Consider the following 21,244-nt stretch of genomic DNA (forward strand, 5'->3'; position numbering starts at 1 on the left):
CCAGGTGAGCAACTGAATCTTCCAGTCCTCCATCGGGTTTCTTGGCAGCCAGTCAGATGAGGCTTTTTTTGGATTTATTTTGCATAGCAGTTACATCTCCAGTAGTTTCTCATAAGTAAGTATCAAGCTAAATCCTGTATAATCCTATGCTGAGTCAATGAAAATTAATGAAACTGCTCAGCGATTTCAGAACCTGTCTGTATTGAAAGTCTGCATGGAGACTAAGCCAACTTGCAGTGCTAATGCAAGAGCATTTGGCCTGTGCCTGTTAGGAAGCTGCCCAGAATTGCATATGATGATTTTAGCAGACAGACAGTTACCATATGCTTGTGGTTTCTTAGGTCTAAATAGAAGAACACCTTTTAAAACTCAGAATAATCTGCAATTCTGAGGGACACACATTTATAGGCTCAACACTGAAGAGCAAAAACTTTCACTTTACCTGCCGGGTTTCCCAGTTTACATTCCACTGTTTGATATTTGTGAATCTCCATGTTGTCACTGGAATCCCGGTGGCTGCATCAATTTTAATCAACCTGTTATATGAAACTCCCAGAATGTCATCTTTTTTGCTTCCTTTAAATCTGAAAAGAATCATAATATTAGTTAAGAGAAGCAACTGCTTCCTATAATACAATGTTCACTCACATATAACTTCTTAAAAATACTACCAGTATTTCTGAATCATTTCAGAGGAATGGACAATGAAGAATTAACTTTCTGCAGGGGGGCATTTTTATTGGGATATAGACAGCGTGAAAAAAGAATGAAGGCTATCCTGCAGATGGTCTTTAAGTAAAACTGACATCAGAGAGAAGAAAAATAAGATGGAATCAAATAAATTCATTCAAAATGATTACTGACTCTGTGTTGGGCACCCTTCTAGGCATGGGAGATATAGTAGTAAACTAAACGGATGGAAAATTTCTGACTGTGGGAGGGAGAAGATCATAAGTATGAGGTACATATGCCAGATAAGATGAAGGAAAATAAAGTTGGAAGGGCTACAGGGAATACTGGTAATAAGGTGGTTACAGTTTGAAACAGGGAGGTCAGTGAAAAGGTGACATTTGATCAAAAAATGGATATGCATGAGGATGTGAGCCGCGTGGATATCTGGGGAAAGAGTATTCCAGGCAGAGGGCACAGCCACTTAAAAAAATTTTTTTTTTAATGTGCTTAAGGACCTGCCAGGAGGCCCATGTGGCTGACACAGTGAAGGAGGGGAGAGAAATGTGAGTTCAAGAGCAAAGGTCTTGTAGGCCACTGTAAGGATCTGGCTTTTACTCTGAGTGAGATAAGAAATCCTTCAGATTTTGTGTGTGTGTGTGTCTTGTAGAGACAGGGTCTTGTTATGTTGCCCAGACTAGTCTTGAACTCCCGAACTTAGGCAATCCTCCTGCCTTTGCCTCCCAAAGTGCTGGGATTACAGGCATAAGCTGTCACACCTGTCCCAGATGGTTTTGAGCAGAGGCTTCACAAAATCTGATTTAGATTTTAAAAGGATCCCTCTGGCTGCTAAGTTGAAAATTTAGTGGGATCAGGGTAGAGGCAGGAACACCAAGCAGGATCACTCTGGACCGGCTCTGTGATGGTGGTGGTGGAGGAGGAGGCGGAAGAAGTGGTCGGATTCTGTGTGTACTTTGAAGGTAGAGTCACTAGGAGTTGCCTATGGGCAGGATGTTGGTGTAAGAGAAAGAGCAGAGTCAAGAATGACTCCAAAGGATTTGGCCTGAACATCTAGGGCGAGGAGTTGCCTTCTACTGAGATGAAGAAGTATGTAGCGGGGAGCCAGTTTAGGGGGAAGATCCGGAACTTTGGACATGTAAAGATGAGATGCTCATTAGATATCCAAGGGTCACTGGATTTATGAATCTCCAGTTCAAGAGACAGTTCTGGGCTCAAGATATATATTTCAGAGTAATTGGCATATAAATGAAGTCAAAAGAATGGCTGAACCCAAGAAGGTGAGTAGAGATTGAGAAGAGGAATGCTTTAAGAACTGAGGCCTGGCTGGGTGCAGTGATTCACATCTGAAATCCCAGCACTCTGGGAGGCCGAGGCAAGGGGATTACTTGAAGCCAAGAGATTGAGAGCAGCCTGGGTAACACAGTGAGATCCCATCTCCTAAAAGAAAGTTAGCTAGGTGTGGTGGCTCACAAGTCGCAGCTACTTGGGAGGCTGGGGTGAGAGGATCACATGAGCCCAGGAGTTTGAGGTTATAGTGAGCCATGATTGTGCCACTGTGACAGAGTGAGATCCTGCCTCTAATTAAAAAAAAAAAAAACCAAAAAACTGAGGACTGTGCACTCTGGTATTATAAGAGATTGGAAAGATGAGAAAGAACCAGCCAAGGAGACCAAAAGAACTGGTCAGTGAGGGAGGAGAAAAGCCAGGAAAGTCAGCTGTGTTGGAAGGCAAGTGATGCAAGTTGGCAAAGGGTAAGGGGTGACTCATTGTGTCAAATGCTGCGGAGAGGGTAGCTGGTGCAAGGACTGAGAGGCGACCAATGGACTCAGCAATGTGAAGGTCATGGGTGGCCAAGAGGTGACCTTGATGACAGAAAGTAGCAGGGGCAGTGGGGTAGGGAGGGAGAGAAAACCTAACTGGAGTGGTTTCAAGAGAGAATGGAAGCAAGGAATTGGAGGTAGTAGGTACGTACAATACATTCAAGAAGTTTTACTGCAAATTAGGGCAGAGCTTGGGGAGAGCAGCTGGAGGGGGTTGCAAGAAGGGGAAACTGATGTGAAAAATGATGCTGCAGGAGACAGAAAAGCATAATTTTAAAAGAATTCCTAGCTGAATATGTCACTTTTCACATCATTCTTATCTTCTGCATGTCACCCTTGGTTAAAATTTACTCCCCTGTTCTGGAATGTTTTCCACATTATTCCTTCATTTCACCACCTTAATGCTTAATATCACAAATTAACCCACTTCTTACTCCACCCGCTTCTCTCTAACCTATGGGAGTTCCCTGGGCTGCTCTCCATCATCCAGGGAGCGGTGAAGCAAGGACCTAGGTCTCTCGGGTGTGGGCAGATCCCGATTCCGCCAGACATCCTACACACAGCATGGCTGCTCCAGGCTTTGACTCTGACTGACCTTGGAAAAAGCAGATCTTCGCTACACCTGGGCCCACTGCCTCAAAGCCTCACCTCCATAAACAGGTGTTAGAGATAGAGGGAGGTGCAGGGGGAAGTAGCTGGTAAAGGAGGAGTTGTCACCGGAAAGTTGTTCAGGCCCACACCACGCTTCACCACGTATCAGGCACTTTGCTTGCAGGCTGCACTGGATTCTCTCAACACAGTAGGTTCGGAGAGCCCACTGGACACATGGAGAAGCTGCGCTTGGGGAGCGCAGCAAAAATGCCCGGGTCACAGAGCTAGCAGAGGCAGAGGTGAGACTGAAAGCTGGGCCTGGTCAGTTCAAGTATTTATGTGGTTTTCACTATGCGGGGTTGACTTCAGGGTTACAGGTGAGTGTGTGTGTGTCCGCACATGGACACATATGCGCGCACATAGTGGGTATCCAGTACGACTCCGCGCTTCCTCACTCCTTTGTTGGGGTAAGTAAAGCAGAAGGAGTTGCTTGTTTGGGACAAACGTTGGGGACTGATATTCAATGAGATATTTCAGTGAATAGGAAAGTCTGTTTTTTCTGTTGTTTTGTTTTTGTTTTAGAGACAGTCTCACTGTGTCGCCTAGGCTGGAGGGCAGTGGCGCGATCTCAGCTCACTGCAACCTCCACCTCCCAGGTTCAAGTAATTCTAGTGCCTCAGCCTCCTGAGTAGCTGGGACTACAGCTGCACACCACCACGCCCAGCTAATTTTTTTTTGTATTTTTAGTAGAGATGGGGTTTTGCTACGTTGCCCAGAGTGGTCTTGAACTCTTGAGCTCAGGCAATCCGTCCACTTTGGCCTCCCAAAGTGCTAGGATTACAGGCGTGAGCCACCGCGCCCAGCTGGAAAGTCTGAATAGACTCCCCTGTTAGAAGTAATGGAGGAATGGAGTCTTTGGAAAGGGCCAAGAAAACAAAAACTGCCAATGATTAAAAATACAAACCAATTATCCCACCCCGAAATTATAAGATGAGAAAGTGACAGTACTTGCTGTACTGTAGGATTGGGGGTAGATTTTGCTTAAGCATCAGTCTCCTTTTCTGAACTGAAGAATGTAATTTGATTTACAAGCATGCTTGTGGATATGTTTTGGGAAACCATCCATTGTATACAGTGGGGCAGAGCCATAGTGCTAGGCGGGGATAACAAATGAGGATGCAGGGCTTTATGCCAAGTGTGCCCTGGACTGGGGGTGAACTTGGACAAGTCACTTAAGCTGTCTTTCTGGGGGCAATAGATGGGCCTCCTATGCATCCTTCAGACCCAGAAATCTTCAGAGACCAGTGAGAACAGGGTTGCTACCTGATAAACCTGGGTAGAAATAAGACAGAGCTTGCGGGGACCTCTCTAAAAACCTAACAATTCTGCAAAGCCACACCACGAGACACTATGAGACACAAAAAGGAGGAAGCTGACATGAAAGAAAGTCGTAGCCAGGTGTGGTGGCTCATGCCTGTAAACCCAGCACTTTGGGAGGCTGAGGTGGGAGGATTGCTTGAGATCAGGAGTTCGAGACCAGCCTGGGCGGCAAAATGAGACACCCCCCCCCCCGGCCACCCTCCCCACACCCGATCTCTTAAAAAAAAAAAACAAAAAAAAAAAAACCGAAAAGAAGTTACAGATTTCATAAAATCAATATGTGATGTTTACCCTCTGGTTTTGGAAATGTAGTTATCCTAAAAAAAACCCTCCTTTTAAAATTTCCTTTCCCACATTTAGCTGAGTTTCAGGGGTATTGGAACTTAGAACAGAAGGTATGGAAAATGTTTATGAGCAGCCCAAAGTGTCAGGACTATTTATAAAAGGGCAATATTCTCAAATAAAAAGCATTCTATATTCTATGCTAAATGAGAAAACTGGGGCTCCCCAAAAGCCACTTAAAATTGAATGGAAAGTGTGAGAAACAAGTGAACATTGTAATCACCTGACAAGGTAGTAGGTGAGGCCAAACTCAGGCAGTGACTGCCACGCCTGGATGAACCGCAGCTTGGCTTCGACCAGGGGCATCTGGGCCACGTTCTGGTGCGCCTCCAGGATCCGGGCGGCCAGCTGAACAGAAACAGACATCAACCTCTCTTCACATGCACCGGCTGCTCTGTGATCACCCTGTTAGCTCCAGATCCCCCATAAGAACAATACACTCAAGGTCCGTCTGCAGCTCTACAAAGACAATCCATTCTCATCCATTCATTCTCTCTCTTTTTCTACAAGATACAACAATCACTGGAAGAAGCAGGAAAAGGATCACCCAACACATAAACTTCTAAAGTTGGTGCAGTTGGAGAGCTCTGGGGTCCCTCTGTCTGAGGTCTGTGGAGTGTCCACAGACAATGATTCTACATGAATCAGCTCATCTGTGCAACTTTTAACCCACTCCTATAGAAGCATAATTTTAATTATTAATTTGTGAGAACTAAATAAGTTCAATCTGGGAATACCTACATGTTTAGTCAGCAGTACAGTCACCTCTAACAAAATTAACAATAATTTCATAACATCATCTAATATTCAGGACATAGTCAAATTTCAGCATCAACTGATTTTTTCATGATGATACTCTTAATTAGATGGAATTACTCCTTTTTTTTTTTTTTCTGAGACACAGTCTTGCTTTGTTGCCCTGGCTAGAGTGCAGTGGTGCAGTCTCAGCTCACTGCAGCCTCCACCTCCTGGGCTCGAGCAATTCTCCTGCCTTAGCCTCCCAAGTAGCTGGGATTACAGGTGTGCACCACCACGTCTGACTGATTTTGTATTTTTAGTATAGAAGGGATTTTACCGTGTTGCCCAGGCTGGTCTTGAACTCCCAACTTCAAGTGACCCACCCACCTTGGCCTCCCAAAGTGCTGGAATTACAGGTGTGAGCCACCATGCCCAGCCGGAAATCCTCCTTTTATTTCTGTTTGCATAAAGAATTTACTGCAAACAATTGCCCTAACAAGATTAACAGTACCTGTTTGGATTTGTGTCTTTTTGCACACCGTGGTGACACAAAACATTCTGGGTTCATATCCATGTTTTCGAGACTGGAAGCCACCTGAGATGCAGAGTTCCTGTTTTTCATCCTCAGAAATGAAAGGATGTTGAGGACCTCTGGCTGGTAGGAGCTGTCTGCCATGGTTTTGCCCTTCGATGCCAACATGCAGGCAGCCATCCATTGGGCGTATTGATTCTCCTGCAGCAAACAGAAGGTTGAGAAGCAAGCTCAAGTGCAAAGCCCCCTGCTGCACACAGAGGGGGACTTGGGCTTTCTACCCCATTACAGTGCAAAACCATCACCTTCCAAGCAAGATGTGAAGTGGCACACGTTGTGAGTGGCTGCTCATCAGCTAATGTAACACCTAACAGTAGTTTTTGAGTCCTGTGTTGAGTTTCTAGATGCTGGGAGGCTAGAGGATAGGAATGTCAACTTTGATAAATTGCATGCAGGGAATTTGCATTTAAAGATGATCCAAGGGCCAGGTGCGGTGGCTCATGCCTGTCATCCTCAACTTTGGGAGGTTGAGGTGGGTGGGTCACCTGAGGTCAGGAGTTCGAGACCAGTCTGGCCAACATGGTGAAACCCTGTGTCTACTAAAAATACAAAAATTAGCTGTGCGTAGTGGCAGATGCCTGTAATCCCAGCTACTTGGGAGGCTGAAGCAGGAGATCCCTTGAACTCAGGAGATGCAGGTTGCAGTGAGCCAAGATTGCACAAACGCACTCGAGCCTGGGCGACAGAACAATACTTTGTCAAAAAAAAAAAATACCAGGTGTGGTGGCTGACACTTGTAATTCCAGCACTTTGGGAGGCCGAGGCGGGTGGATCACGAGGTCAGGAGATCAAGACCATCCTGGCTAACATGGTGAAACCCCATCTGTACTAAAAAATACAAAAAAATTAGCCAGGCGTGGTGGCAGGCACTTGTAGTCCCAGCTACTTGGGAGGCTGAGGCAGGAGAATCACTTGAACCTGGGAGGTGGAGGTTGCAGTGAGCCGAGATTGCACCACTGCACTCCAGCCTGGTGACAGAGCGAGACTCCATCTCAAAAAAAAAAAAAAAGGTCCAAGGACACAAAGAAGTGCCATGGGGCACAGATAGGTGGTGAAACCGCAAACTGTCAGCTTTCCTTGATATGTATTTCTGTTTTCATATCACATCTGGTCTCTACGCCCAAAAGAAAATGATGAAAAAAATTAGCTGATTTCCTATATTATTTGTATCCTGGTCTATCCTTGGTAAAGACTCTAACTCTAAGGTAGCAATCATGGCCATTATGGGATCTTAACAAGTCAGTGGTGGCTTCTATTGCTGTTTAATTTCTGTGTTTTATTTCTGACTTCAGGGAGTGAACAGGGGTGGTCCTCAGAAGTGCAAGGGATACAGTTAAAGAGGGGCGTTCTTCAGTGCAACAGTGGGTGAGGAACGTTGAATTACTGGCCTCAATCTTCACTGCCCCTGATAAGGTTTGGCTCTGTGTCCCCACCCAAATCTCATGTTGAATTGTAATTCCCAGTGTTGGGGGAGGGACCTGGTGGGAAGTGATTGGATCATGGGGGCAGATATACCTCTCGCTGTTCTTGTGATATTGAGTGAGTTCTCATGAGATCTGATGGTTTAAAAGTGTGTGGCACTTCCCCCTTCACTCTCTCCCTCTCCTGTCACAATGTGAAGATGTGCTTGCTTCCCCTTCACCTTCCGCTAAGATTGTAAGTTTCCTGAGGCCTCCCCAGCCATGCCTCCTGTATAGCCTGTGGAACTAGGAGTCAATTAAACCTCTTTTCTCTCCCAGTCTCAGGTAGTTCTTTATAGCAATGTGAGAATGGACTAATACACCCCCCACCACTGCCATCCACAACCTTCGCCATATAACTTTACAGTTCCTCCCACCAGGGAGGAATTCCCATCCCTTGACTGCAGGCTCAGTCATGTCTTCTGCTTTGGCCAATGGAATGTGGGTGGAAGTGACAGTGTGCCAACTTCATGCCTAAGCTTTAGGAGGTGCATGTGTTGCTACGTGCCCTCTCACACTTCTGCCCTCACCAAGAGGAGACCTTCCCTAGGCAGCCTGGGACCCAGAATAAATAAAATCAGCTCAACCAGAGGCACAGTCCCACCAAACCTGTGTCTCCAAACCCATATGACCAGCTGACACCATCCTGGATCATCCAATCCCCAGCCTACCTTTCAGCACATCTTTCAGAAAACAATGTTTATTGTTTTTCTTTTTCTGGGGGAACAGAGTCTTGCTCTGTCACCCAGGCTGGAGTGCGGTGGTGCCATCTTGGCTCACTGCAAACTCTGCATCCTGGGTTCAAGTGATTCTCCTGCCTCAGCCTCCCAAGTAGCTGGGATTACAGGCACCCACCACCATGCCTGGCCAATTTTTGTATTTTTAGTAGAGATGAGGTTTCACCATATTGGCCAGACTGGTCTTGAACTCCTGACCTCAGGTGATCTGCCCACCTTGGCCTCCCAAAGTGCTGGGATTACAGGTGTGAGCCACTGCATGGCAAATGTTTATTGTTAGAATGTCATTGTGATTTTGTTACACTGTGATTGTTTGTTACAAAGCAATAGCTGAGTGACACAATAGTGCTCTAAATTTGTGAAAACATTTTTGGGTTTTGCTCTTAGGCTTAGTGGAGGTGAAGTGACTTAATATTTTTGGGGTTTTACTCACATGGTCACATCTCAAATACATTTCATTCATACCATCGGCAACAGGGATTAGTAACTTGATTCCAAATTTTCTTCCTGCTACATTTACATCGGGCACAACTTCGCAGCCTGAAGGACAAAGATCAGAGACAAAACTGAGTTCTGAGGCATCTGTTAGATAAACATCAGGTGTGTATCTGAAATAAAGACTTTGAATACAAGCCCCTCAGATTTGCTTTGGTTTTGAAAAATGGAGGAGCAAGCTGATAACATTAATTAATGGATAATTAGATAAATCTTATGAACAATTAACATAGATAAAGAAAAATGCTTTTCTTTTACAGTTTTCTTAAAAAGTCAATTTAGTTCATTTTCAGGTTAATGCTGGCTCTCCAAACTCATAGAAAAAATTGTGGATATGAACTTTAAAATAAATCAAAGCAGAAGGAATTCTCTGATTGTCACAATAATGTGAGTTGAGTGTACTGGTTAATTAAATATTTCAATTAATAGATGGTTATCAGGACGCTCACAGTGACCTTCAGAAATTAGAATAGGCATTAAAGTGACACTGAATTAAATATAACTGTTCTGGAATACAGAAAACTTTTCAGGATCTTACAGCACCTCATGTGCTATACTCTTGGACATGAATTACCACCACATCATAAACTCTGGACACACTGAGAAAGATGGAACAGCAGAATGCAAATAATCATGTTTACTAGACTGCATTCAAGGCTCATGCTTGGAAGAGCAGCTGCAGCCAGGCTGTCATTTGGAAAACAGTGACACTGGTTCTGGTGGTTCCTCTAGAAGTAAGTAAACCGTGCCTCATGGTGTCGAAACCCTGACTTTAATCTGCTCACCTCTTTTTTTTTTTTTTTTTTTGGAGACAGAGTCTCACTCTATCACCCAGGCTGGAGTGCAGTGGCATCATCTCGGCTCACTGCAACCTTCACCTCTTCAAGTGGTCCTCCTGCCTCAGCCTCCCAAGTAGCTGGGACTACAGGCATGTGCCACCACGCCTGGCTAATTTTGGTATTTTTAGTAGAGATGGGGTTTCACCATCTTGGCCAGGCTGGTCTCGAACTCCTGACCTCAGGTGATCCGCCCGCCTCAGCCTCCCAAAGTGCTGGGATTACAGGTTTGAGCCACCGCGTCTGCCCTGACTTACGATGAGCCACAGCAAGATATAGGGTACTCTTACCTCTAAGATTTAGTTTTTCTAGTGGTTCTCCTTGTTCAAGTTCCTTATTTTTAAAGTATGCTATGGATGTGTCTTTAAAGATAAACCAATATTGTTTGAAAGCTTTTGGTAGTAACTTCTTGGGCCTGCAAATTCAAAGATAGTGAATGTTTAAACCACCACCCAGAAATGTGGAACACGCTGCAGATTTCAAGCAGATCAGATCAGATGTTTGTGTCAAAGAAAACACACTTTGTTTTTTCAAAAATAATTTCAAATTGCTAATTTCCAAGCGCTGGAAATGAAATGCTGATATGTGATGTAGATTTTAACACTAAGCCTCCACCTGGGGCCACACCTGGCTCTGCTACTGTCTACACGTGTGTCCTGGGAAAGATCCTGCACTTACCTGGGCTGCGTGCACTGCCTCTGTGTGATGGGGACCGTCGTAGTCTGGGAACCCAGGGCTTTTGTGAGGACAGAATGAGTTCATCTACATGAAGAGCTTATCACAACACCTGATGCAACTGAAGTGTTAACTGTGATGGTGTATGTGAGGAACCGACATGAATCTGGTGACATTTGGAATCTCGGCATACTTTTTGCATTTGAAAAAGCTGTCGATATGGACAGCCCAAGCTTCAGGTTACCATACATACAAGTCAGATATAAACATGAGCAGCATTTTCTGTAGTTTCCTCTTCACCCTTAAGAGAAACTATGGGAGAATTCTCAGTGAACCATGGAAATCAGCGATATCTACAGCTAGTCAATATAGACTCTACTGTTATTAAAAACTATTTTGGGGAAAGGTATCCAGCTGTGGTATTGGTATCTGTTGGGGCCAGAAAACTTTATACAGTGGACTAGACAAGGTTGGTGGTGCCAGTGGCAGGCCTAAAGGTTGGGTCATTCAAAATAGGAAACGTGAGAATGAGCTAGGGGGAGGACAGGGGTTGGAGATAGGCAGAGAAAAGAAATTATTAGTATGCGGTTTGTGGAAGAAACCTGGCCGTGGGGGCAGATCAGGGTATCTCATGCCAGAGGGGCGGACTTCTGCATCAAGAATGGGAGAAGAAAGGAACCTTGGTGTTCCTCTTGGAGAAGAGAGGAACCATTCATATGTAATTTGGGGCAATTTTTTTTTTTGGAGACGGAGTCTCGCTCTGTTGCCAGGCTAGAGTGCTGTGGCACGATCTCGGCTCACTGCAACCTCCAACTCCCTGGTTCAAGGGGTTCTCCTGCCTCCGCCTCCTGAGTAGCTGGGATTACAGGCATGTGCCACCATGCCTGGCTAATTTTTGTATTTTTAGTAGAGATGGGGTTTCACTATGTTGGCCAGGATGGTCTCGATCTCCTGACCTTGTGATCTGCCCGCCTCGGCCTCCCAAAGTGCTGGGATTACAGGCATGAGCCACCACGCCCAGCTGGGACAATTTTTTTAAACATGTCAGTACTAGTCTTTCCTTAGCTAAACATATGTTATCCTTAACACAAAGATAGGAAAGAAGTTGCACATTAAAAAAAAAAAGTATATGCTGGGTGCCAGTGCCATCATCTCAGCACTTTGGGGAGCTGAAGTGAGAGAATTGCCTGAGGCCAGGAGTTTAGGACCAGCCTGGGCAACACAGGAAGATCACATCTCTACAAAAAAAGAAAAATTAGCCAGGCGTGGTGGTGTGTCTATAGTCCCAGCTATGTGGGAGGATTGGTTAAGCCTGGGAGGTTGAGGCTGCAGTGAGCTATGATCACCCTGGGTGACAGAGTAAGGACTTGTTTCTAAAAAATAAATAAATAAAATTTAAAAACCCAGCAAAACCCCCTCAGTGTATTACAGAAGAATATTACATATAATTTATAAAATAAATTTGAAAAACATTATATGAACTTAACATTTCCAGGATTAAGAAAAAACACTGTATTAAAATAGTATTTATTTGCTGGGTGCGGTGGCTCGTGTCTGTAATCCCAGCACTTTGGGAGGCCGAGGCAGGCTGATCACTTGAGCTCAGGAGTTTGAGACCAGTCTGGCCAACATGGTGAAACCCTGGCTCTACTAAAAATACAAAAATTAGCTGGCCGTGGTGGCGTGCACCTGTAGTCCCAGCTACCCGGAGGCTGAGGCACAAGGATTGCTTGAATTCAGGAGGCGGAGGCTGCAGTGAGCCGAGATCACGCCACCGCACTCCAGCTTGGGTGACAGAGCAAGACTTCGTCTCAAACAAACAAACAAAAACCAAAAAATTGGTATTTATCATGTTGAGGGCTGTAGTTAAGACAGTTCTTTTTTTTGTTTTGTTTTTTGAGATGAAGTCTTGCTCTGTCACCCAGGCTGGAGTGCAGTGGCGCAATCTTGTCTCACTGCAGCCTCTGTCTCTTGGGTTCAAGCGGTCCTCATGCCCCAGCCTCCCGGGTAGCTGGGATTACAGGCACGTGCCACCACGGCCGGCTAATTTTTGTATTTTTAGTAGAGCTGGGGTTTCATCATGTTGGCTAGACTGGTCTTGAACTCCTGAGAGCTCAAGTGATCCGCCCACCTTGGCCTCCCAAAGTGCTGGGATTACAGGCATGAGCCTCCATGCCCAGGCAGTTCTAAGGAACATATTGTTGTTTAATACTCAGATTCTCCAAAATGAATAGTATTTTCAGAATAATAAAGACAGCACCTTTAACCAAAAGATACAGGTAATAAGGTCTTGGTTTAATCTTCAGCCTCTAAATATTTCTCTTTAGGATTAAGAATGAGGCCCTACTTCTCTGTTCTACCTGGACCTTAAGAGTATCAAGAGATCTCAAGTTCCTCCTCCTATCTCCTGCCTGGAAGTTTTGTCATCTTTCAGGATGCTTCTGACACATTAACAAAGCTAATCATTGCTGCTGCTCTATGCAGCAAAGCCTGGGGCAGGGTAGGGGAAGGGGCAGCGGAGGCGATGCTGGGTGGTGAATGACGTGCATAAGAACGAGCGAGACAGGCTCTCCAGGCTCTCGTTAGAATTTTTTTTTTTTTTTTTGAGACAGGGTTTCACTCTGTTGCCCAGACTGGGTGGAGTGCAGTGGTGCAATCTCGGCTCATTGCAACCTCTGCTTCCCAGGCTCAAGCGATTCTCCTGCCTCAGCCTCCCCAGTAGCTGGGATTACAGGCGCGTGCCACTACCACCTGGCTAATTTTTGTAGTTGGTTGTGGATATTCCCCTCTAGGTATTTTTGCAACTACATATGTTAGGGCTTCATAGGTTTTGTCATCCCGGATCAGTTTCTATTTTATGTTTTCAGGATTCCCTTATTACATAAACACATAAGACATTTAAATTTGTATCTAGGCTGGGCATGGTGGCTCATGCCTGGAATCCCAGGACTTTGGGAGGCCAAAAAGGGAAGATCTTGAGTCCAGGAGTTTGAGACCAGCTTGGGCAACATGGTGAAACTCTGTCTCTACAAAAAATACAAAAATTAACCAGGCATGGTGGCACATGCCTGTAGTCCCAGCTACTCAGAGGGTTGAGGTGGGAGGACCGCTGGAGCCTGTGAGGTAGAGGCTGCAGTGAGCTGTGATCACGTCACTGCACTCCATCTTGGGTGACAGAACGAGACTTTGTCTCAAAAAAAAAAAATTATATCTACATCTGTGTGTGACACAGCCTTGGCTCTGATTTCTCAAGAGATACTTTTCATTTCCACACAGAACCCCATGCAAGGATGAACTTCCTTACTGCTTTCTTTGGCTAATGGGTAGTTTTTCTATTTTTCATTCAACAGAAGGGCAGCCTTTGCTCATTTCCACCTTTAGGCAGGCGCTTCAGTTCTCACTTCCTGCTTCACACAGGACTGAAAGGTTCATCTTCTATCCCTACATGGGAATTAAAATCCTAGCCTCAAACCATGACAACCTGTCTCTATTCCCTAAATTCCTCTGTGTGGCTGATGCTGCGTTTGTAGAACTAGATTCCTGCCTCATTTCCTGTAAGTTGGCATTTCTGTTTCACTTCATGATTAATTCTGTATTTATAATTCTTTTATTTTATCTAGCATGCATATGTATTCATAGCAAGATAAGAGTTTGCATTAGAGCTGATACCCTGTTGCTAGAAACTGAAGTCCACTATTTATATGATAAATTTAATAGATTTTTTTAAATAAAAAAAGAGCTTCACTGTAATAGAAAGAACTTAAAAATCAAAGGATTAGTTCAATGCTCTTAGTACTGATGAGGAAAGAAGGTCTAGGGAAATGAAGGGCCTATTAGAGGTCCCACCTTACCAGGAATAGAGTTCCACTCTCGAATCTCCCTCCCCTCTTCCCTCCTACGAGCTCTCTCTCCTTCCTTCATTTGTTTCTTCTTTCCATGAACTATATTATATATTCAATGCAACATCTTGAGACCTTAGATAGTATCCACTGGCCAAATATGAGGGCAATTTTGAGAGTATAAGTCACACCGAAAGCCTGTGACAGTTCAGGGTAGCATAAGTGATATGGATTCAACTCCAGCATCACTTTCTTCATCAGAAACATCTATAGGAAGGCTACAGTCACCATTTGGTTCATGAGGGGCTTGATTTGCCCTCTACAGAGAATGTGGCAACTCATTTTTTTGTGGAACAATTATGAATACTTTATTAAGATGTACTTGTGGATTCAAATTGTTACTTTTTTCCTGTAGCTCTGATTATAACAATATGAGTGAAATGTGGTTACAACCATTTATGCCAGGGAAGTTAAATGAATGACCCTGACCGGGCGTGGTGGCTCACGCCTGTAATCCCAGCACTTTGGGAGGCCAAGGCAGGCGGATCACCTGAGGTCAGGAGTTCAAAACCAGCCTGGCCAACATGGTGAAATCCTGTCTCTACAAAAATACAAAATGTAGCCAGGCGTGATGATGGGCACCTGTAATCCCAGCTACTCGGGAGGCTAAGGTGGGAGAATTGCTTCAACCCAGGAGGTGGAGGTTGCAGTGAGCTGAGATCACACCATTGCACTCTAGCCTGGGTAATAGAGTGAGACTCTGTCTCAAAAAAAGAAGAAGAAGAAGAAAAAAGAATGACCCTATTGTTTGCGACCACATCCTACAATCACAGTAAGAAATCCCCAAAACCATACCTGTAGAAACCCAGTGACAAATATTGTTACCTTTGGACACTTGTTTGTCATTTATACCGGCTTCATTGCTCATTCTTTCTAATTCTTTCTTTGCATCATGTGTTATCAAAAGCAACTTGTGTTTCCTTTAAAGCCAACTGCCCCAGTGAAGTGCCCGTTGGTTAAGAAAAGTCAACAAACCATAAAGTGAAATAAGGAACTGACAGGACTTCAAAGAGCCTTGTTTCTTTCAACCTAACATACGCTGGCACCATTGCAGAGGTGGCAGTTCATTATTTCCATGGAAAAATAAAACTCCTTCTCTGCCTTTTTAGCAGTTTCAGGTCAACCTGAGGTGATGGAGGAGTTTATCAGAAGTACTTAAACAGGTAGATAAACTAAGGTGACTACTCTCTGTAAGCCCAGGATCAAAGTTCTAGAGAGAAATGGCTTTTAAATTATAAGCCTTCAAATGGTATCAGCGTACTGAGCCTCCCAGATGGAACCTACTAGAAGCTCTAGTATGGCGGATGTGTTTATTATTGCTGATGTGAACCCAGCCATTCACTGAGGGTTCACGCTGCCATTCACTGAGCATGTACTATGAACCAGGTACCACGCTCAGTGCTTCATATGCATTATTTCATTGAATCCTCCCAACAAGCCCAAGGGGAGGTATATTCCCATTTTATAGATTGGAAAATGGAGGCTCAGAGACATAATATATTGCTCAAGGTCACCTAGCTGGTGTGTGTGGTAGAGCTACGACTCAACCCATTGTTTGTCTGATGGCAAAGCGCACATTTTACCTTTGAACCATGAACCTGCCTCAGGGATATATAATTTAAACTCCTGCACTCTTTATCTTCAAGACTTTGTTATGAGTAACTCCTTTTCCCCATAAAAGTTTACTTACCTAAATAATTTGAGATTATCTGCAAGTTTAGGGATATCAGTAATGTCCTCCTAAGAAAAAACAAATAAAGTTTCAAAAGCAGGAACTTCATAAGTGATGCTGATACTCAACCTGCACTGTCTAATATGGCAGTCCCTTGCTATATGTGCCTATTTAAATTTGAATTAATTCAAATTAAATAAAATGAAAAACTCAGTTCTTCAGTTTACACTCGCTACATTTCTGATAGTTAACTGGGTGTGGGAGTAAGGAGGATTGGGAGGAGAATGGGGGCCCTGTTGAGGTCCCCTAGGTGGCTGGCAAAGTTCTGTTTCTTGATTTCAGTGGTGACTTGGGTGACAATTGAATACTAATTTGTTAAGCTGTACATATGTGTATTTTTCACTTTTCTGTTTGTGTCGTAGATTACAAAAATGAAAAACGAGATGAAAAAAATGAAAAAGTGGATCAAGTACTCCCTATAACTATCATTCAAGTTAAAAATCTGAATTAGAAATGACTACTTTTATATGCAAACAAAAGATTTTATAATTTTTATATAAGAGTGGGTAACTCCTGCTACACCTAGGTCACTGATTAAACTTTCAAAGTGAACCTTGTTCAAAGTTCATTCTGTAATGTAGGCTGGTGCCTGTTTTCAAACTGAAAAGCCTATTGTTAGCATCACGTAAAACTATTAAGGGAGGGAGGACATAACTTTTTATTTATTCTAAAAAGAATTACTTTCCTGTTGTATTTATTCAGCGGAGAAAGTAGACAACAGAGAACTCCAAGTTCATGGGGCCTATGTCTTCTATAAACGTGACACAGGGCCCTGCATCTCTACAGAATCTTGGCGTTTAGTTTGCACGAAGTATTTGCTCCTGAATGAGACCAGTTTCTTATTTTAGGACATTTAATGATAAGAGAACATACATTGAATGCAGAAGAATATAGTAACTAATTCTAATCCATGATTACTGCTTACATCTAATTATGGTGGACCCACCTCTCTGATTCAATGTGATTAATAATTATTCCCATGGCCGAAGTTAAACAAAAGTGTGGCACCTCATGAGTGAATTAAACAGGAGGGGCATTTCAGTTATAAAGCTGACATTCACCTTTCATGGATAAGGAGAAAGAGATGACAAAACAGTTTTCTTTGTTTTATTGGAGGGTTTTCGTTTGTCTCCTGAAGTCAAAAGCATTCAGAAACTTTTTGCAATGTTCCAGAAAAAGGCCACAACTTTGGTCAAGCTTGTCTGGTTGAAATGGATGACCAAGTAAATAGAAATAAGGTTTTTATCGGTAAAGAATTTTCTTGGCCGGTCACAGTGGCTCATGCCTGTAATCTCAACACTTTGGGATGCTGAGGTGGGAGAGTCACTTGAGCCCTGGAGTTAGAGACCAGCCTGGGGAATATGGCAAACCTTGTCTCTACAAAAAATACAAAAATTAGCCAGGCACAGTAGTGTGTGTCTGTAGTCCCAGCTACTCCGGAGGCTGAGATGGGAGGACTGCTTGAGCCCAGGAGGCTGAGGCTGCAGTGAGCCTTGATTGCACTACTGATTGTCTCAGAAAAAAGAAAAAAGGAAACAATTTTCTTTATTCTATTCTCACAGCTGCTCCATGTAATAGACAGGGTGGTATTTTCTAGACTTAAGTTTAGGGACCAAGTCCACATTCCATGCTAGTGAAGTGGAGCCCTCAGCAGTGGCTCCTTCACACCATGCCAACTTACCTCTAGGAAGAAATATAACACAAAAGTATTGTCATTAGTAGAGATGAAAATATAGTCCCTTGTGGAGCTAACCCATGAAAAGTTAGTTCACTAGGTTGAAGCTTGTTAGGTGAAGAGCATCTTTTTTTTTTTTTTTTTTTCAAAATCAGATGAAATATTCTCTTCTAATAAAGAAAAGTTCATTTATACTTGTCAATCAGAAGAAAGCCACAGTTCTGGGTGATCAGAAAAAGTTCATACCAAAAGGCTGTCCGCTTTTCCACCTTCTAGGGTTACTTCCAAATTAGAAAGCGCCGCTTCTATTTCATCAACCTCGGACTCGCCTGCAAAATCCTGTGTTTCAGCAGACAACGACAGTTTGCTAATGTGGTACTAAAATGAAAACAGACGTTTTAGAAATGTTATAAACAGAAATGTTATAAATATAAATGAATCCATTAGCCATTTTTTTCTTTGAGGACTATTCCCTTGGAATACTGAACATCTCCTAAACAGAGGTCTCCTTCCCGTGTGGGGAAAATGACATTTTAACCTGAATCGTTCTGAGGTTCATGGTTAGTCATGTTACAACTGGCTCTTTCTCATCACTGATTGTGCTCACAGTAGGGAAGAGATAATAATTGCAAGACTAGTGTCTTACAGAGGATGTGAGCGTGTGTGGATTATGAGGAGCATTTTAAATTAAAAATTTGTTCTGGTCTGAAGAAGAAAGCAAAATAAAAAATACAGAAAACAATTGCTCTCCTTATTTTCAGATATTTCTTCAAAGAACAAAAAAAAACCAGTATGAAGCATATGAAACTTCAAGCAGAACAAACTTGGTTTGTCTCCTTCCAGAGAAAAGGTACTGAAGTTCCCATACCTGTAGAGCTGCAAAGATCAACATTTCTTCCTCTGTGCAATCAATTTCTTCTAAGAGAATGGCCCACCTGGCTTGCTCATAGAGTTGGTTTATTCGGACAGCATCATACTAGAGACAAAAACAGAGGTGTGTGTGTAATGAGGTATATTTATATCCCACAATACAAAGATTCTGAAACAACTGAGGCCATTCTCTGTTAATCAGATGCAGCAAACTTCAGCTCAGGTAAGTGAAAGGAATACTTCTATTGTGCCATATACTCAGCACTTTTTTTTTAAAGTTTTTTTTTTTTTAATTTTTTATTTTTTTGAGACAGGGTCTCACTCTGTCGCCTAGGCTGGAGTACAGTAGTGCAATCTTGGCTCACTGCAACGTCCGCCTCCTGGGTTCATGCAATTCTTGTGCCCCAGCCTCCCAAGTAGCTGGGACTACAGGCATGTGCCACCACACCTGGCTAATGTTTGTGTTTTTTTGTAGAGATGGTTTCGCCATGTTGCCCAGGCTGGTCTCAAACTCCTGTGCTCAAACGACCTACCCATCTCAGCCCCACAAAGTGCTGGAATTACAGGCGTGAGCCACTGCGCCTGGCCCTCTGGCCCATTTTACTTCCAGGGCTGCTGCTGCTTCTTCACAACCCAAATTTGATTCCATTATTTTCTCTCTCTTTTATTACTACATATTGGTAGTAATAGATAGTAAAAATGGTTTATATGATAAACAGTGTAATAAGTAAACAGTGTAATAGAAGGGATCCCCATGCTGATCTGCAAGCCCAGTGCAATCCCAAGCAGAATCCGATAGGATTTTTTAAATGAAACTTTATACAAGCTGATTCTCAAGTTGAGGCTGGTGGAAGACATAATGTTCAAATATTGCCAAGAAATTGAAAAAGAACAATGTTGAGTAAAGCACTTCTCCTCCCAGATATTAAAACCTATTATAAAGTTGCAGTAATTAAAATGGTATGGTACTGGTGTAATGATTGATAAAGTATCAATAAAGCCTTATCTAGAAACAGACTTATATATGTATATAAATTTAATATAAAATATTAATTTTATATTAAAATATAAAAATGACATTTTACACCAGCAGGGGAAGGAAGAATTCAACACTATAAACAGTGTTGAAAATGCCTAGCCACTTGGAACACAAATTGAAACAAAAAATAACTTTACACTATCCAAAAATATAAATTACAGATGGATTAAATAATTTAAACATATAAAACCACAATAAGATACTACTTCACACCTACTAGAATGGCTCTTATCTAAAAGACAGGTAATAACCAGTGTTGGTGAGGCTGTGGAGAAATTGGAGCCCTTGTGCACTGCTAGGTGTAAAATGATGCAGCCTCTGTAGAAAAGTTTGGCAGTTCTTTAAAAAGTTAAACATAGAATATAATCCATCAATCCTACTCCTAGCTGTACACCCAAACAAACTGAAAGTGGCATCCAAACACATACTTGTACAACAATGTTTACAGCAGCAATATTCATAATAGCCAAAAGGTAGAAACAGCAGAATGGATAAATAAAATGTGCTGTCCACATACAATAGAACGCTATTCAGCCTTAAAAAGGAATGAAATTCTGGCTGGGCACAGTGGCTCACACCTGTAATCCCAGCACTTTGGGAGGCAGAGGTGGGCAGATCACTTGAGGTCAGGAGTTTGAGACACGCCTGGCCAACATGGTGAAACCCCGTCTCTACTAAAAATACAAAAATTAGCCAGGCATGGTGGCAGGTGCATGTAATCCCAGCTACTTGGGGGAGGGTGAGGTGGGAGAATCACTTGAACCTGGGAGGCAGAGGTTTCAGTGAGCCAAGATTGCAGCACTGCACTCTAGCCTGGGCAACAAGAGTGAGACTGTCTCGAAAAAAAAAAAAAAAGGAATTAAATTCTGATACTTGATACAATATGAATGAAGCTTGAAGATGCTATGCTAAGTGAAATAAGCCAAATACAAAAAAACAAATACTGGATGACTTCACTTATATAAACTATCTAGAATAGGCAAATTCATAAAGACAGAAAGTAGAATAGAGATTACCAGGGGCAAAAGAGAGAAGGCAATGGAGAATTATTGTTTAATAGGTACAGACTTTCTTTTTGGGATGGTAAGAAAGTTTTGAAAATGGACAGTGGCCCAACCTGGGCAATGTAGCAAGACTCTTGTCTCTATTTTTTTAAAAAAGTGGCTCTTGTCACTAGTCCCAGCGACTTGGGAGGTTGAGGCAGGAGGATTGCCTGAGGCCAGGAATTCAAGACCACCCTAGGCAACATGATGAGTCACTGTTTCTAAAAAAAAAAAAAAAAAAAAAATTATCCAGGCATGGTGGCATGCACTTGTTCCAGCTACTCAGGAGGCTGAGGTGGGAGGATTGCTTGAGCCCAGGAGTTTGAGGCTACAGGGAGCTATGATCACAGCCTGGGTGACAGAGAGAGACTATCTCAGAAAAAAAAAAAAGAGAGAGAAAATGGATAGTGGTAATAGTTGCACAACACTGTGACTATCCTTAATGCTACTGAATTGTACATCTAAAAATGGTTAAAATGATAAACATTATGTATATTTTACAATAAAAAAGTCAAAGAAAAAATCCCAAATGTATACATGAATATTCATGGCAGTATTATTCATAATAGTCAAACAGTGAAAACAATCCAAATGTTCATTGATTGATGAATGAATGTAGTATACATAAAC

At 42.9% G+C, this 21,244-nt stretch overlaps 1 protein-coding gene across 4 annotated transcripts in view; it reads right to left on the reverse strand.

Annotated features, from left to right (window-relative positions):
• Positions 1–21,244, reverse strand: part of FERMT1 (FERM domain containing kindlin 1) — a 48,186-nt gene that overhangs the window by 4,149 nt on the left and 22,793 nt on the right. For all 4 annotated transcript variants that reach the window (NM_017671.5, XM_024451935.2, XM_047440259.1 and 1 more), the window contains 8 exons: positions 18,531–18,638; positions 17,909–18,040; positions 15,946–15,995; positions 9,972–10,096; positions 8,784–8,890; positions 6,073–6,294; positions 5,047–5,171; positions 443–584 (listed from right to left, as the gene is read on the reverse strand). In NM_017671.5, coding sequence (NP_060141.3) covers positions 443–584; positions 5,047–5,171; positions 6,073–6,294; positions 8,784–8,890; positions 9,972–10,096; positions 15,946–15,995; positions 17,909–18,040; positions 18,531–18,638 — 1,011 coding nt within the window. The remainder of the gene's footprint in view (positions 1–442; positions 585–5,046; positions 5,172–6,072; positions 6,295–8,783; positions 8,891–9,971; positions 10,097–15,945; positions 15,996–17,908; positions 18,041–18,530; positions 18,639–21,244) is intronic.

This window comes from Homo sapiens, chromosome 20 (genome assembly GCF_000001405.40).
Source record: "Homo sapiens chromosome 20, GRCh38.p14 Primary Assembly".
NCBI lineage: Eukaryota > Metazoa > Chordata > Mammalia > Primates > Hominidae > Homo > Homo sapiens.